The sequence below is a fragment of the Homo sapiens genome, chromosome 3, assembly GCF_000001405.40.
Source record: "Homo sapiens chromosome 3, GRCh38.p14 Primary Assembly".
In the NCBI taxonomy this organism is placed as follows: Eukaryota; Metazoa; Chordata; class Mammalia; order Primates; family Hominidae; genus Homo; species Homo sapiens.
In genome coordinates, this window is record NC_000003.12 from 52,759,282 (window position 1) to 52,776,633 (window position 17,352).

The 17,352-nt window shown below is 44.2% G+C and overlaps 1 protein-coding gene across 11 annotated transcripts in view, besides 3 other annotated features; it reads right to left on the reverse strand.

The window, feature by feature from the left end:
* NEK4 (NIMA related kinase 4) overlaps positions 1 to 11,659 on the reverse strand; it is a 62,497-nt gene extending 50,838 nt beyond the window's left edge. For 9 of the 11 annotated variants that reach the window (NM_001348412.2, NM_003157.6, XM_047448772.1 and 6 more), the window contains exons 1-6: positions 11,373 to 11,659; positions 9,057 to 9,323; positions 6,897 to 7,094; positions 6,606 to 6,713; positions 4,189 to 4,343; positions 1,514 to 1,655 (exon numbers count right to left, since the gene is read on the reverse strand). In NM_001348412.2, the coding sequence (NP_001335341.1) occupies positions 1,514 to 1,655; positions 4,189 to 4,343; positions 6,606 to 6,713; positions 6,897 to 7,094; positions 9,057 to 9,323; positions 11,373 to 11,465 (963 nt within the window). In that variant the 5' untranslated portion in view covers positions 11,466 to 11,659. The remainder of the gene's footprint in view (positions 1 to 1,513; positions 1,656 to 4,188; positions 4,344 to 6,605; positions 6,714 to 6,896; positions 7,095 to 9,056; positions 9,324 to 11,372) is intronic. The other 2 variants (NM_001348414.2, NM_001193533.3) reach the window with 2 other exon arrangements.
* Positions 11,436 to 11,953: an enhancer, noted in NCBI's record as "H3K27ac hESC enhancer chr3:52804733-52805250 (GRCh37/hg19 assembly coordinates)". NCBI's record gives its function as "activates a minimal SCP1, AML or CMV promoter by ChIP-STARR-seq in primed H9 embryonic stem cells {active_cell/tissue: H9 hESC(primed)}" and the evidence as "EXISTENCE:reporter gene assay evidence [ECO:0000049][PMID:30033119]".
* Positions 11,471 to 11,580: a silencer, noted in NCBI's record as "silent region_14453". NCBI's record gives its function as "represses an Ori minimal core promoter by ATAC-STARR-seq in GM12878 lymphoblastoid cells {active_cell/tissue: GM12878}" and the evidence as "EXISTENCE:reporter gene assay evidence [ECO:0000049][PMID:35858748]".
* Positions 11,741 to 11,790: an enhancer, noted in NCBI's record as "active region_19947". NCBI's record gives its function as "activates an Ori minimal core promoter by ATAC-STARR-seq in GM12878 lymphoblastoid cells {active_cell/tissue: GM12878}" and the evidence as "EXISTENCE:reporter gene assay evidence [ECO:0000049][PMID:35858748]".

Below are 17,352 nucleotides of genomic sequence, written 5' to 3' on the forward strand. Positions count from 1 at the left end.
TCCCAGCTACTCAGGAGGCTGAGGTGGGAGGATCACTTGATCCAGAGAGGTGGAGGCTAGATTGAGCCGTGATCGCAGCACTGCACTCCAGCCTAGGCAACAGAGCAAGACCCTGTATCAAAAAAAAAAAAGCAAAAGCTTTAGCAGATATTTCTCCAAAGAAGACATACAAATGGCCAACAAGCATGTGAAAAGATGCTGTATGTCATTAATCGTTAGGGAAATACAAATCAAAAATACAATAGGATACCACTTTACACCCACTAGGATGGCTAGAATCAAAAAATCAGAAAATAATTAGTGCCGGCAAAGATGTGGAGAAACTGGAACTCTTGTGCACTGCTGATGGGAATGTCAAATGGTGCAGCCACTGTAGAAAACAGTGCAACAGTTCCTCAAAAAGTCAAACCAAAAAAAAAGTCAAACCAAAAATTACCATTTGACTCAGCAATTCCACTGCTAGGTATGTACCCAAAAGAACGGAAAACAGGTACTCAACTACTTGCACACTTATGTTCATAGCAATAGCCAAAAGGTGAAAAAAACCCAGATGTCTACTAATGGATGAATGGATAAACAGTGGTATATCCACATAATGGTAGCCAGACCTAAAAAGAAATGAAGTATTCATACATGCTACATGGATGAACCTTGAAAATATGCTATGTGGAAGACACCAGAAACAAAAGGATATATTTAATGATTCTATTTACATGAAATATCCAGGACAGGTAACTTCATAGAGACAGGAAACACACTGGTGGTTGCCAGAGGCTGGGTGAAGGACAAAATGGGAGTGACTGCTTAATGAGGAAGAGATTTCCTTTGGGGTGATGAAAATGTTTTGGAACTACATAGAAGTGACGGTTGCACTACACTGTGAATGTACTGGCCACATTTAATTGATCACTTTATTTATTTATTTTATTTTATTTATTTTTATTTTTATTTTTGAGACAGTGTCTCATTCTGTCACCCAGGCTGGAGTGCAGTAGTGCAGTCTTGGCTCACTGCAACCTCCACCTCCCAGGTTCAAGCGATTCTCCTCCCTCAGCCTCCTGAGTAGCTATGACTACAGGTACATGCCACCACAGCCAGCTAATTTTTGTATTTTTAGTAGAGATGAGGGTTCACCATGTTGGCCAGGCTGGTCTTGAACTCCTGACCTCAGGTGATCTGCCAGCCTCGGCCTCCCAGAGTGCTGGGATTGCAGGCATGAGCCACCGCGCTCAGCCTTAACTGTTTACTTTAAAATGGTTAATTTTGTTATATAAATTTCACCTAAAAAATTCTTAAAGTTATTACAGCACTGACTTTGTGAACAATTTGACAGCCCAATTTGGATAAAGCTAAATCAATCACCTTAACCAGTATTCTTTCTTTACAGTAAGGAATTAATTGTACAACAGAATCTCTAGTAAAGCATAATCATTTCACACAAAATAATTTGCTTAGATGGCCCATTTTTCTAAGTGCAGTTTCTAAAACACATACCCTTTAAAAAGAAACGTACCATTATATATGTCTGGGAGCCCTCAGAAGAGAGTGGTTGGGGGTGGATTACTTCATGATTTGATTCTGCCTCTCCAGAAACCACTGTAGCAAAAGGCTTGGATTGAGAGTCACCATTTTTAATGTTATTTTTGGAGGTTTTTCTTTATAAAGAAGAAAAGAAAGAGTTATTATCAATATACTGAAGATTAAGGGTTTTTAGGTATATGTGGGAGTGTGTGTATACAATGAATTCCCTTACAGAACTGCACCATTTATAGAGAATAGTTTTCTAAAAATCTAAGGGGCATCCTACAAAACACCTCACCAGTAGTCTTTGAAACAATCAAGGTCATAAAAAATAAACAAAGTGAGAAACAATCACAGACCCCTGATTAGATGTACTATATCCTGGATTGGATCCTGGAACAGAAAAGAGACATTAGAGAAAAAAACTGGTGAAAGCCAAAGAAAGTCTGGAATTTAGTCAATAGTAATATTTTTCTTTCTTTTTTTAAAAAATTGAGACAGAGTTTCACTCTGTCATCCAGGCTAGAGTGTAGTGGCGTGATCTCAGCTCACTGCAACCTCCGCTGCCCAGGTTCAAGTGATTCTTGTGCCTCAGCCTCCCGAGTAGCTGGGACTACAGGTGCACGCCACCACGCCCGGCTAATTTTTTTGTATTTTTTTTTTAGTAGAGACGGGGTTTTGCCATGTTGGCCAGGCTGGTCTTAAACTCCTGACCTCAGGTGATCTGCCAGCCTCGGCCTCCCAAAGTGCTGGGATTACAGGCGTGAGCCACCATGCATGGCCAAGTCAATAGTAATATTTCGATGTTGGTTTCTTAGTTTTGACAAATGCATTAGGGTATGTAATCTGGTAATCACAGAAGAAACTAGATGAGGGGTATACAGGAACTCTCCACTCTATCTTTCCAACTTTTCTGTTTATACAAAATTATTCCAAAATAAAAATTCTATGGGAGATTGCCTCACATACGGGAGTATCAGGTTAATTTTCATTTTCAAATTTTACATGTCTGTAATAATACCACAACTGCTTGGCTAACTTTGAGAGTAAAACTGATTGGTACACTTAGTCCTGCTTATAGAATAAATGCATACAGGAATAACATCCCCAACTATTTTAGTATGTCATTTCTAAAACTGGGCTAAACCTCTGGAGAATTCAAGAGGAGCATGGAGATCAGTACACTGGAAGGCCAAAGGTCTGCTTGGTGGGAAATTATGTACACAAAAAGATGGTTCTTCTTTATTCCCTGAGGCATCTCTAGCACTGCCTCCTCTCTTTCCAAATTTAACATGCCACAAGGCAAGAGGAGAAGCCAAACAGATTGTAATAGTTTTGTCCAGCCCTAAGTCTTAGATCCTGGAACACCTGTTTAGTAAAGGTAGGATCTGCAAGCCAAAGCAAGGAATTCTCTTGGGAAGTTAATGTGAATGAAGAGGGAACTTTATGCAAGCTCTCAGAAATGTGAGCACTACTTTTTAAATATTACTATCTTACACAGTAAGATGTATAGGTTTCTCAGATAATCTCTAATTATATGATTTCTAAAACATATGCCCTCTTTTTTTTTATTATTATTTGGCTGCTCCTTGAGAACAGGACTAACTCATAGGCAGTGAGCCCAGAGTAGTGCATATGTCCTTTAAAAAAAAATTTACACTATATGTCTTAGAACCCTCTGAGGAATGTGACAGTGGTTCTCCAAATTTCTGATTTTAGCAATTAAGCAAATTTCAACATGTATTTGAAGACTGGGAGAATATGCCACGCCAAAATATGCTACTTTGGCATAAAGATTATTTTGGGCTAAGGTTCTTTAAAAAGTAAGTGCAAGCTTTGGGAGGCCGAGGTGGGCGGACCACGAGGTCGGGAGTTCAAGACCAGCCTGGCCAACATGGGGAAACCCTGTCTCTACTAAAACTACAAAAATTAGCCGGGCACGGTGGCGGGTGCCTGTAATCCCAGCTACTGGGGAGGCTGAGGCAGGAGAATTGCTTGAACCCGGGAGGCGGAGGTTGCAGTGAGCTGAGATCATGCCACTGCACTCCAGCCTGGGTGACACAGCAAGACTCCATCTCAAAAAAAAACAAACAAAAAAAAGTAAGTGCAAGAAGGGCACTCTGATCTTCCCTTTTTCTTCCAGAAAGCAGAAGATAAAACTCCCATATGAAATACGTCCTCCCTGTACCAGAAGGAAAGTAACATTCTTATTATCAAGAATGGAAAGCTGAAACTGAGAGAATTCTATAAACAGACCTTATTAAAATAATTCTTATCTTCCTTTAGCCTCTCCACCTAGTTTACTTTTCCACAATTGCCTCTCTTTGTTCAATCAAGCAAAAAGCATTTAGGTTTTGCCACTTCTTTGTATTTTTAGTAGAAGTTAGGTCTTCATTTCCTTATGAGGGCTCCTGTGTCACATAAAACTTATTCAGGTATTAAAGAAATCTACATGCTTTTCTCCTGTTAAATTATAAGTTTAATTCTCAAGCTCAGCCAAGAAACCCTAAGAGGGTAGAATTTTGCCTCCTCTACATATGTAATCATGCCATTTTATTTCTTGTTTTTAAGAAAACTCACCATTAATTCTTGCATATGAATATTACAGAAGCCACCCTCTTTCACCCCATCTATTTAGCCCAGCTATTTGCAAGGGAAGTATCTTACATCTTTGTGGCCTCCAAAAAGAAGGAGATTTGCCGCTTTATATAAGGCTGCCTCAGGATGCTCCTCACAGACGGCCTTTCTTCAGGCCTTTTGCTCAGCATTGTTCTTATCAGTTCTGCCAGCTCTGGGCTGTAATCTCTTGGCATTGGTGGCAGCTACAAATAAAAATAATATTGTAATTATGACTAATGGTCTTGTGAAACAAAGTAAAAGCTGGTAGAGGTTTCCCAATATTTATTTATAGTCATATGTCCACATAAGCAGAAAACAATCAGTATATTAGTCTACAGGAAGTGTACTGGTATCCCAGTTGTAAGATAACAAGTTGTAAAATTATAAAAGTATATCCTCCAACCCAGCAGTCCCATCTGATGACACTCTCATTCAGAAATAAGAGTATGAGTTTCCTAAAGACTTATGTATCGGGATGTTCAATGCAGTACTGTTCTTGCAGTAGTAAACAATTGGAAACATAAATGTCCCTTAGGGGATTTGTGGAATAAATTATCATGCATTCTTCTTATAAAAACTAGGGCCAGTCGCAGTGGCTTACGCCTGTAATCCCAGCACTTTGGGAGGCCGAGGCAGGTGGATTGCCTGAGGTCAGGAGTTTGAGACCAGTCTGGCCAACATGGTGAAACCCCGTCTCTACTAAAAATACAAAAAAATTAGCTGGGCGTGGTGGCATGCACCTGTAATCCCAGTTACTCAGGAGGCTGAGGCAGGGGAATTGCTTGAACCAGAGAGGTGGAGGTTGCGGTGAGCCGAGATCACGCCACAGCACTCCAGCCTGGCAACAGAGCGAGACTCTGTCTCAAAAAAAAAAAAAAAGAAAGAAAAGAAACGAAACTAGGCAGCAGGTTAAAAAATACAAGACTTGGGCCGGGTGCAGTGGCTCACACCTGTAATCTCAGCACCTTGGGAGGCCGAGGCGGGTGGATCATGAGGTCAGGAGATGGAGACCATCCTGGCTAACACAGTGAAACCCCATCTCTACTAAAAATACAAAAAAGTGGACGGGCGTGGTGGCGGGCACCTGTAGTCCCAGCTACTTGGGAGGCCGAGGCAGGAGAATGGCGTGAACCCGAGAGGCAGAGGTTGCAGTGAGCTGAGATTGCACCACTGCACTCCAGTCTGGGCAACAGAGTGAGACTCTGTCTCAAAAAAAAAAAAACTTGCAGGTACCGACTTGGAAGGATGTGTTCCTCATATATTAAGTCAAAAAAACAAGTTATGTACCATGTGAACAGCCTGATTTCAGTTTAAGAATCTGTGGGTGTGCGCGTGCGCATGCACACACACACACATGCACACACACACACACACACACACACACAGAGTTATGTCTGTATAAAGACAGGAAAAAACCAGAAAGGCCATGTACCAATTTGCTAGCAATGGTCATCTTCCAGGGAATGGGAATAGAAAGAGAAGAGAATTTCACTCCCTTCTTGTTTGATTCTTAAGTAGTGGCATTATGGGAAAATTTTACTTTTGTGTGTGTTTTTCAATATGCTTCAAATTGAAAAATTAAATAAGTTGTGGGATAGTATTAAAATCAATAGATGATTTATGGCCTTTAAAACTTAACAGTACATTGGCCAGGTGCAGTGGCTCACACCTGTAATCCCAGCATTTTGGGAGGCTGAGGCGGGCGGATCACCTGAGGTAAGGAGTTCGAGACCATCCTGGCCAACATGGTGAAACCCCGTCTGTACTAAAAATACAAAAATTAGCTGGGCCTGGCAGCATGTGCCTGTAATCCCAGCTACTTGGTAAGCTAAGGCACAAGAATCACTTGAACCTAGGAGGTAGAGGTTGCTGTGAGCTGAGATCATGCCATTGCACTCCAGCCTGGGAGACAAGAGCAAAACTCCATCTCAAAAAAAAAAAAACAAAAAAAAAAACCTTAATGATACATGGATGCCTGAATCTATAAAGGGCAACTAGCCTCATGGAACATACAAAGCCAGTCACTCTGGAGTCTATATCAGACACAATGCTTTCTGTGATTCTTAACTAGTTACTGATTGTTGTGATGATTATCAAAGGAACGACAAGTTCAAACAGAGTAAACTCATTTTAAATGTAGCTCATTGAATCATAGGCTGCTTAGAAGAAGAGACAAATAGCCTCTCAGGGCATCGGCACATCCTATGACTATAGGCATAGGTTTTCAAAAAGCCAATTCTTTTGAGCCATTAAGCTGGCTTACAGATTAATATTAAGAAATGATCCATCAATCCCTTTTCCTCTAGTCTGACCTTCCCCACAGAAGGGACCCACCATTGTTAACTATCAACCCAATCTCAATAATTACTCATTGACTCATCAAAATCATCAATGATTTTGCTAGTAGCTATTTATAAAGCTGCACTATAGAAATACTGGTCAATTAGTTCTAGATTATTCTTTACCTTTCCTTCAATAATCCGATAAACTAAAGAATTCATATCTTTTGCATTGAAAGCATGCTTCAAGGTGGCCATTTCATAGACACAGCATCCTAGAGCCCAAACATCAGACTAGAAAATAAAAACAGTAAACGGTTAAATGTCAGAATAGCTTATTTACATTTTTTTCCCTTTAAAAAAAGAAAACATTTTCCTTAAACCAATTCATAGATAATTCTCTGACTTAATTAACTTCTGAAATTACAAGCACTCTCCCAGAGACAAGGTAAGCCAGCATACAGAGCCCAATCCTACCTTATAGTTGTAGGGTTTGTTTGAGAACAATTCAGGGCTCATGTAGTAGGGTGTGCCAATGAGGGTGCTAGCCATGTCACAGTGGTTCTCTAACACTCGGGCAATTCCTAGGTCCCCTACTTTGATGATGTTTGTTCTTGTTAGGAAGACATTTTGAGTTTTCAGATCTCGATGAAGGATGTGTTTTTCATGTAAATACTGAGGAAAGAAACAAGATTTTATTACATATAAATAGACTTAATTATGTATTTATTCCTGGCTTATTATATACCATCAGCAATGGCATGAGTTAGAGTCTTTGACCGTAAAGAGTAACCAACCATACAATTCCTTATTCAACAAGCAAATACCTACCAAACATTATTGCTTTATAATCTCTAAATAAAAGGTCTAATTTACAATTTTTGAAATGAGAAAATTAAGTTCCATGTGTTGACTTACCCAGTACCCATCAAAACTGTTCCCTGGTAGCTTGACAATTATACCATTTTGGCATTACATGAATCCAGTTTAAAAATATGTTTACAAGCCGGGCGCAGTGGCTCACGCCTGTAATCCCAGCACTTTGGGAGGCCGAGGCGGGTGGATCATGAGGTCAGGAGATCGAGACCATCCTGGCTAACAAGGTGAAACCCCGTCTCTACTAAAAATACAAAAAATTAGCCGGGCGCAGTGGCGGGCGCCTGTAGTCCCAGCTACTCGGGACGCTGAGGCAGGAGAATGGCGTGAACCCGGGAAGCGGAGCTTGCAGTGAGCCAAGATTGCGCCACTGCAGTCCGTAGTCCGGCCTGGGCGACAGAGCGAGACTCCGTCTCAAAAAAAAAAAAAATATGTTTACAGGCCAGGCGCAGTGTTCAGCAGTTTGGGAGGCCGAGGTGAGCGGATCACTTGAGGCCAGGAGTTCAAGACCAGCCTGGGCAACATGGCAAAACCCCATCTCTACTAAAAAAATACAAAAATTAGCTGGGCATGGTGACGCACGCCTATAATCCCAGCTACTTGGGAGGCTGAGGCACAAGAATCACTTGAACCCAGGAGGTGGAGGTTGGAATGAGCCACGATTGTGCCACTGCACTCGAATCTGGGCGACAGTGACACTCTGTCTTAAAAAAAAAACAATGCTTACAAACTCCACTGATGGTAGGACAACTTATACAAAGTCAGACGCACAGTCCTCTCAGACCCATGAAATCCTCAGCTTAATAATATTTTCAAGTACAGCAAGAGCATTTTTATTTAGAGAAAGTATCTCAGCCGGGCGTGGTGGCTCACGCCTATAATCCCAGCACTTTGGGAGGCCGAGGCAGGTGGATCACCTGAGGTCAAGAGTTCGAGACCAGCCTGGCCAACATGGTAAAACCCCATCTCTACTAAAAATACAAAAAAAAAAATTAGCCAGGTATGGTGGCAGGCGCCTGTAATCCCAGCTACTTGGGAGGCTGAGGCAGGAGAATCGCTTGAACCTGGGAGGTGGAGGTTGCAGTGAGCCGAGATCGTGCCATTGCACTCCAGCCTAGATAACAAAAACAAAACTCCGTCTCAAAAGAAAAAAAAAAAAAGAGAGAAAGTATCTCAGAATTTAAACATGGTCAATTAATTCTGGACAAGTCTACCCAGTTCCAAAATAGTATTTCATAAACGTCTCGCTTTTGAGTTATATGCATATTAAAACACAAACTTGTAGGAACACTTATTCCATCTTAAGGAATGATGTGCTGCCCAATTCTAAAAAATAAAAAAAAGAAAACTTGTTTTGCATTCCCATCTACTGTACCCCAGCAGACTGACAGATGAAATCACTGGGCATATCAATTAGCCTAGCCACCTTTCAGCATGACACGACTGACCAATGGATAACAAACATAGTCACTCTATGCTCTTGGTTGCCTCAGGGTCCTTAAAATTGACTTTGCTATAAATGGTAATTGAGTGGGCTTCCCCTGCAATCAGACATGAAATCTATGTCTATTTTAATATAGGTATCACTTACTTAGAAAAGTTCCAATGCTACAGAAAGAGTGACTGGGTCAACTTCACAAATGAATTTTCCAAAAAATACATTTCTATATGTAAGTATCTGAAGAAAAATTTTCCTAAAATACACCTGCCATCTTCTTGCCATCTGGGAACAAGCTAGGATGCTATTAGTCTACACAGTACCTGCAAAGCCATGGCGATCTGTACAAACCACTCTACCACCTGATTCTCAGGCAGAAGCTGCCCTTTCTGCTCCTTGAGCTTTCGGTACAAATCACCTCCTTCACAGAAGCCCATGACAATGTAGAGCAGACCATCTCCTCCTTCCCATGACTCCTTGTAGGTGACAATGTTGGGATGCTTCAACTGAGACAAGAGCTGGGCTTCCTGTTCAGCAGCTCGCCGCTCTCGGCTAGAGGCATTTCGGAGGTTCAGTTTTTTGATGACATACTAAAAACAAACCATGTATTTTTACAATGTGCAAATAAACGTAAGATTTGTGGCCTCAGAGTTATCTAAGGGCTCTCAAGAATACCCTCAAAACCAACCTTGTGGAGCCTGTCAGATAACCTATTCATTTTGTTTTTCACCAAGCACAAAATCGGGGAAAATATTTGCTATTATTGATACTTCTTATAAGTTAGATTTATAGCAGTGTAGGGCCACAAAAATTACCTTTCCCATCTGCATTTCACAATTTCATTAATGACTAAAAAAAGTGAGTTCAAGATAACATACCATTGGATCAATTATAAAACCTGTGTTAGCAATTCCTTAATATCTGGCCATACACAGTGGCTCACACCTGTAATCCCAGCACTTTGGGAGGGTGAGGCGGGTGGATCACCTGAGGTCAGGAGTTCAAGACCAGCCTGGTCAACATGGTGAAACCTGTCTCTACTAAAAATACAAAAATTAGCCCGGCGTGGTGGTGTGTACCCATAGTCCCAGCAACTCGGGAGGCTGACACAGGAGAATTGCTTGAACCTGGGAGGCAGTAGTTGCAGCAGTGAGCCAACATCGCACCACTGCACTCCAGCCTGGGAGGCAGAGCAAGACTCTGTCTCAAAAAAAATAAAAAATAAAAAAAGAAATTCCTTAATATCTAAGCTCTCCCAAAAAGGTGAATAAAATATAGCTTGACTATACATTTGCAGACAGAATAGTCTGTGGATTACGTTAGATACTCAAAGGGATCCATGGCCCCATAAGTTTAATAGTCACTGATCTTCAGCATACAAAATTATTCACACTTAAAAGAAATCAATAGCCTCTAATACCTAATACATTGCCCTCAATCATTTCAAAGACCATACAATTCATTTCTTCAACACATAGATAAATGTGTTTTGTGAAGTGTAAACTAAAGCTCAAATAACTAGCTATTGCTAGTTCCCTATCATCAGCCCCAAAATCCAATGATTCCCCCAATGCCTACTGAATAAATTTCTTATGCATGAGCTTGTGTTCCACGCAAAGCAACTAGCACCAGAGACAAGGAAGAACAGGCAATTGGGCCCTATATTTAGGGGGAACATCTCTTCTCAGCTTGCCTGGAGCAGTCCTACTGTCCTGGTGTAACTATTAATAATGCCTTTCAGTTTCAAAATTGTCCCAGTTTGTACATTATATTGTCACCCTATTAATAAACCACATTGAATAATTGGTTCATTATCCTGAGAGTAATGGGATAAAGTGTTTTAAACAGAGGAGTGACAACATCAGATTTAAATTTGAGAAAGATCACTGAGGCTGCAGTGAAAGTGATGGATTGGAGAAAAGCAAGTCAAGTGGCGGCGACCAGTTGGGAAACCGTGGCCATAGCTTTGCTAGAGACAACAGGGTGTCCTGGATTGGGGTGGTAGCAGTAGAGATGAGAGGAGGCCTATTGTCTTAGTGATAGATGAATATAATCAGTGTTGGGGTGCGTGGGGAGGCTTAAAAATGACTCCAGGTGTCCGGCTTGGGCAACTGGTGGGTTGGTGTCACTATTCACTGAAACGGAAGACATGAGAGAAGGTTTGGCGGGAAGAAAATGAGTCGAGTTTTAAGTGAATCCAGCAGTCTACAGTAGAGACGTTTGGGGCCCTTCATTCAAGGAATAATGCTTGCTAGGCGCTGTATTAAGTCCTGGGAATGCATGATACCGGCTCTCATGAGAGTATCGGGGTTGGGAGAAAGGTGTGTAGATCACGCATGCCAATTAGTACAACAAAGAAGTAGATAGGCAGAGACTGAAAATTTTTACATAAAACTTAGAATTGTAATTAAAGAAAATGAAAATTAAAAGGAAAAAAATTTAACACAACAAAGAAGTAGAAGTAGTTCTGGGCGCATATTACAGGGAGGCCAGGCCTCGTCTTGGTCTGGGACCATTTCCCTGAGGAAACGCCATCCGAGATGAGCCTCTTGCGACCACCCCCGACCTAATCTACCGGTCGGCGCCCTCGGCGCACTTCTGCCCGCCCCCGCCCCTTGCCGGGCCCCACCCCTGCAGACCTGCTTGCCGTCCCGCCGGTGCTTCACAAGCGTCACCTCTCCATAGCTCCCCTTGCCCACGACCCGCAGGTAGCAGTAGGCGGCCAGGGGCATGTTCCCAGCGCTGGCCCAGAGTCGGGATGCGGCGGCAGCGGCGGGTAGGGCAGCGGGCGGCAACAAGAAGCTCGGTTCATGCCCGAGAGGGGGCAGTGGGGGCGGCTGTTGAGGCAGCCGGGCCCGGGCGGGATTGCTGGGGCCCGGCCCGCGACGACGCCGCTGCCATAGCGATCCGGGCCGGGAGCAGTTCTGCGCATGCTCCTGCGTCCCCAAAGGACGGCCATAGAGCGGACGCCACGAGCGGCCAGAGAGGTTCCGCAGCCCCGGGAGGACCCGCCATAGAGCAGAGGCTCCAGGAGGCCAGAGCGACTCCGCCAGGCTCCGCGCACTTTCTGTGCGTCCGTTCCACCGTCCGGATCCCCGCCACAACAGAGTCAGGGAAAGCTTCCTCTTTTTGTGCACTTGTTTGTCCTAAGGCCGTTACAAGTATTGTTCGTTCATTCTGCAAATATTTGTTGACCGCCTATGTGCCAGGCCAACAAAGTCCCTGCCCTCCTGGAGCTCATGTTCTAATGACTGGGTGACAGACTCTCTACCAGTAACATTTGCTGTATCCGCTTTATCACATGCCGTCTCTGCATCCAGCAATCCATCCTATTTTTTGATACATTCAAAGTAAATTATCAGTACCTTTCATCCCTAAAAACTCGCCTGCTAATTGAGAACTACAAAGACTCCTCAGCATTTAACGACTACCCTAACCACTGCACTAAGAGACTTGACTAAACTCTAACATGGCATCATGCTAAGTTAACAGCCTAAGGGCGGATCTCTAGGTGGGCCTAGGCCCCTTTAAAATGCCTGCCCAAGAAAGCTCAGGGGTGCCAAAAGAATTCACCATTTGTTCCAGCCAAAGCCTCCCTTTCCCAGAGCGCTTCCTTTTTTTCCTTTTTTTTTTTTTTTTTTTTTTTTGAGACAGGGTCTCGCCCTGCCACCCAGCTTGGAGTGCAGTGGTGCAATGGTGCTCACTGCTGCCTAGACTTCCTGGGCTCAAGCCATCCTCCCAACTACAGGCACACACGTCCATGCCTGGCTAATCCTATTTTATTTTTTTTCAGAGACAGGGTGTCACTATGTTCCCCAGACCGGTCTTGAACTCCTCGGCTCAAGCAATTCACCCACGTTGGCCTCCCAAAATGCCGTTATTACAGGTGTGCGCCATCGTGCCTGGCCTCTTTCCTTTTTATGGCCAAATAATATTCCATTATATGTATACACCACAATTTGTTTATCCATTCATGCAGTCATGGACACGGATAGCTTCCATCTTTTGGCTATTGTGAATAATTCGGCTATGAACATGGGTGTACGAATATCTGTTTGAGTCCCTGCTTTCTTTTTAATTCATTTGGGTATACACTCAGAAGTGAAATTGCTGGATCATATGCTAATTCTAGTTTAATGTATTGAGAAACCACCACACCATTTTTTACAGCAAGCTGAACCATTTTACATTCCCATTAGCAATCCACAGGGGTTCAAATTTCTCCTCATCCTTGATATATATCTTGATAGGAGATTTGGGTGTATGAATTTGTCAAAATTATCTAATGGTACATTTAGTATTTGCACATTTTACTCAAAGCAATTTCATCTTCACTAGAAAACCAAACAAAAAGAACCATAAATAAAGATTGAACTCTAGTTAATGATATTATTAAAGATAAACAAAGCCAGGCATTAAAATGATGAAAATAGATTTTATTCAGTAACTACTGACAGTAGGGGAAGCAGCTGAACTCCATTCCATTTGCGCAGGGGTGATTGGGCATTCCAAAGGAAGAATAAGGGAGTAGGCAGGGGAGCATGCAGGGGCTCACTTAGAGTCTGGGAAGTGAAAAATTAAAAGGAGTGCTTAGCGTAAATGTGATTAGGCCAACTGTGTCTGCTAGCTGGCAATTAGGGAAGTTAGGATTCTATTCTCCCACATAGACTGGGAGACATGAGCCCTACCTTTATGATGATTACATTCCAAAGGAATGGATTTCAGGTCCTTGAGAAAGACATTCCTAGGTTGTAGGAAATACATAGGTATATATCTCAGAGGGACAGAGGAAGGATTTGTAATTGTAGCTTTTTAAAGTTAGTGCTCTAGAGGCCACACACTATGACTCACACCTAATCCCAGCACTTTGAGAGGCCAAGGTGGGAGGATCACTTGAGACCAGCCTACGAAACACAGTGAGACCCCCTTCTCTACAAAAAATTTTTAAAATTAGCTGGGTGTGGTGGCGCATGCCTGTAGTCCCAGCTACCTGGGAGGCTGAGGTGGGAGAATCAGTTGAGCCTCGGAGGTTGAGGCTGCAGTGAGCCATGATCCTGCCACTGCACTCCAGCTGAGTGACAGAGTGAGACTCTGTCTCAAAATAAATAAATTTTTAAAAAGGAAGGATGTTCTGACATGCTACAACATGGACGACCCCTGAGGACATTATGCTAAACAAAATAAGGCAGTCACAGAGGACAAAAGTATGATTTCGCTTATGTGAGGTACCTGTAGTAGTCAAAGTCATAGATTCAGAAAGTAGAATGGTGGTTGCCAGTTGTTGGAGAGAGGAGGGAATTGGTGGTTGGTGTTTAATGGGTGCAGAGTTTTAGCTGGGGAAAATGAAAAAGTCCTGGAGATGGATGGTGGTGATGGATGCAAAACATGAATGTACTTATGCCACCGAACTGTATTCTTAAAAATGGTTAAATAATAAATTTTATGTTTTGTATATTTTACCACAATAAAAAATTATGGCACACTGCTCCTGTAATCCCAGCTACTCAGGAGGCCGAGGCATGAGAATCACGTGAACCCGGGAGGCGGAGATTGCATTGGGCCAAGATCATGTCACTGCACTCCAGCCTGGGCGACAGAGCAATACTCCTTCTAAAAAAAAAAAAAAAAAAAAAAACCTATCATTCATTCTACAGACATTTAGCAAGGGTCTACTAGCCTGGACCTGGAGGACAACTATGAACAAGACAGACAAGGGCCTGCCCATGTGGGGCTTACTGTCGAAGAGGGAGACGGCCATGCATACTAACAAGCTACCCTTGCCAACTGAGGTCAGTACTGTTCAGAAAAGCCGCCAGGCCCAGCCTGGCCATCCAGGAGAGGTTGCCCCAAGCAAGCACCGCATGAGTGGAAGTTTAAACAAAAACTTTTTCAGGCAGAGGAGCAACATGTGCTAAGATCCAGTGGATTCATTTTGTGACTTTACCTCCACACCGCAATGTGAACTCCCTGAGGACGAGGCCAGGCCTGTCTGCTTCAACACCCTAAACCCAGCAGGTATAAATGAAGGAATTGCCGCTTGCTGAATGAATGAATGGAGAAGCACCTGCCTACCTGGATCTAAAAGAAGTCTCTGCAGTTGAAGCTGAGAGACTCAGAGGGGCCATGGGCTAGGTGACATAGAGGGGTCAGCAGGGGCCATACCACTCAGGATAGGGTGTGCGAGACAGGGAAAGGCCTGCGGCAGACTGACCTTTCTAAATGGTGACTCTGGCTGCTGCCTGGAGCAGAGCAGAAGGAGGAGATGAGCCGTCTAAATGAGGGATGAGGGCAGCTTGAACTAGGTGGTGACGGGGGATGGGGAGAGAAGTTAATGGATTAGAGGGATATTCAGAGGGTGGGAGGTGGGGTAGGTGGTCAAGGAGACTGAGGCACCCAGGATGCCACCCAGCCTTCTGGCTTGGATGGCCAACTAGATGGCGGTGGCCTTGACTGGAGTGGACAACAGGGGGAAGATCTGGCTTAGTAACGGGGTGTGGGGAGGAGGAGACAAAGGTCAGGAGTTCAGTTTGGACATACCAGATGGAGGGGCTGTGGGCACATCAAGCAGACAGTTGGCTGTGTGTGGGTGGCGCTCAGAGCAGGTCTGGGCCCATGTGCTGTCCCACCGGCACCAGCAGCACAGCTACACTCCCCATTCTCAATCCTCAGCAACCATAGCTGCTTTCTGTCCACCCTGGCCCCCACCTCCCACATGCATATGGTGGGCCAACGTCTCTTTCTCTGTACCATGAGGATAATAGTAACAATAATATCTGTCTCTTGTGGGGAGTTGTGAGCAGTAAATGAATTCGGACGTGATGCTAAGAAGCATGACAGGCACAGGTCATAGTTAGCTCTCCCCATCTCCTGTCCACCCTCCCCCTGTGCAAACATGCTTCTAGCACTTTACATGGACCAGGCTTGGTGCTAGCCATCTCTCAACAGCCCAGTCTTGAACTCATCACACCCTTGCTTAAAATATCTTAAGTATCTCCCACCCAAAAGGCTAATCACTTTCAGACCCCTGCGCCAGCTGGTCCCAACCCCCTTCCCAGCCACCTTCCCTACCCTCTTCATCAGCTCCTGCTCCCATCCCAGACACCTCTACCTTCCCACAGCATACATCCCACCTGCCCGTCTGCTTTTCTCTCCCTCCCTTCCCGCCTTCCCCTTCCCAAGCACTGCTCTTTTTTCCAGGCACCTCATCCAGGAACCTTCTCCTAATCCCTGCAGGAGATGAGCCTCTGCCCCTCCAAATTTCTATCTCTTCAGCTTCTCATCACTCCTTGGGATTCAGTGGGCTCCCTTTGACTTGTCTGATTCCCTTTTCCCCTGACATCAGCTCACTGAACACAGCAGGGCACTCAGGTTTCTGTATGGTGGCCTCTCAGTGCCTGGCATTGTGCCCAACACACTGCAGGGCTTGGTCGATACTGGTGCAGGAAATAAGCAGAACTTCAAATGTACACTGTCATGTCGATCCAGCTTCTCTTCTACAAAGGCCAGAAGACAGGCCAGAAGGTGACCGTGGCCTAAGGACAATAAACTCTTCCCAGAAGCTGCTCTGTGAGACAAAGTCCAGGACAAGCAAACAGAGATCAGTGAGGGCTCTGGGCCCCCTCCTCTTATCAGGGTCACAGCAGCCAGCACATCCCAACCCAGGTCACAGACTAGACTGGCCAGGGGCCCTGTCTGCCCAGTATGCTGTGGTTTTTGGGGAACAGGGTGGGTTTGGCAATAAAAAAATAAGAAACTGCAGGTGCAAGATGGGTCTCTGGGAACTCCTGTCTCTAGGATCTTCAAGTCTGCTTCTCTGTCATTACATGATGGCCTTGGGCTTTAGAGCCTGAGAGACCTGGTTTGAATCCCTGTTCTGTCTCTTGGTATGGGGCCAGTGTCCCAGGAACGTTGCGAGGATAAAATTAGACAATAAAGGGTTTAGAGGAATGCATGACACAAATGAGTCCTCGATTATGAAAACATGTCATTCATCTTCAGCTCCCCTTTATCTGCCAGGCCTCCCTGCCCAGGTGCAGGAACGAGGAAGCTCACTTCTGTTCTTTCTAGAACTGGGTAAGAACCTCAGAGAGGTGAAGCAACTGGCCTAAAGCGCAGATCTCCCATCATGCCTCACCCCGACCGTCCAGACTGTCTCTGACAGAGCTAATACCAGGTTAGCACTGTGAGAATCACCAGCATGGCTGGATGTCACACACTTTCTAAGCCACCGTGTCTGCCTCCCTGGCCAAAGCATGACTGAAAAGTGTGTTGATGCTGAAAGAATTTTGAAACAGTCTGGGCAACAAAGTGAGACCCTGTTTCCCTCCCTTTCTTTTCTTTTTTCTTTTCTTTTCTTTTCTTTTTTCTTTTCTGTTCTTTCTTTCTCTGTCTCTCTTTCTTTTCTTTTCTTTCTTTCTTTTTGGAGACAGTCTCGCTCCGTCACCCAGGCTGGAGTGCAGTGGCACAATCTTGCCTCTCTGCAACCACCACTTTCCAGGCTCAAGCTATTCTCCTGCCTCAGCCTCCTGAGTAGCTGGAACCACAGACGCATGCCACCATACCTGGCTAATTTTTGTATTTTTGGTAGAGATGGGGTTTCACCATGTTGCCCAGGCTGGG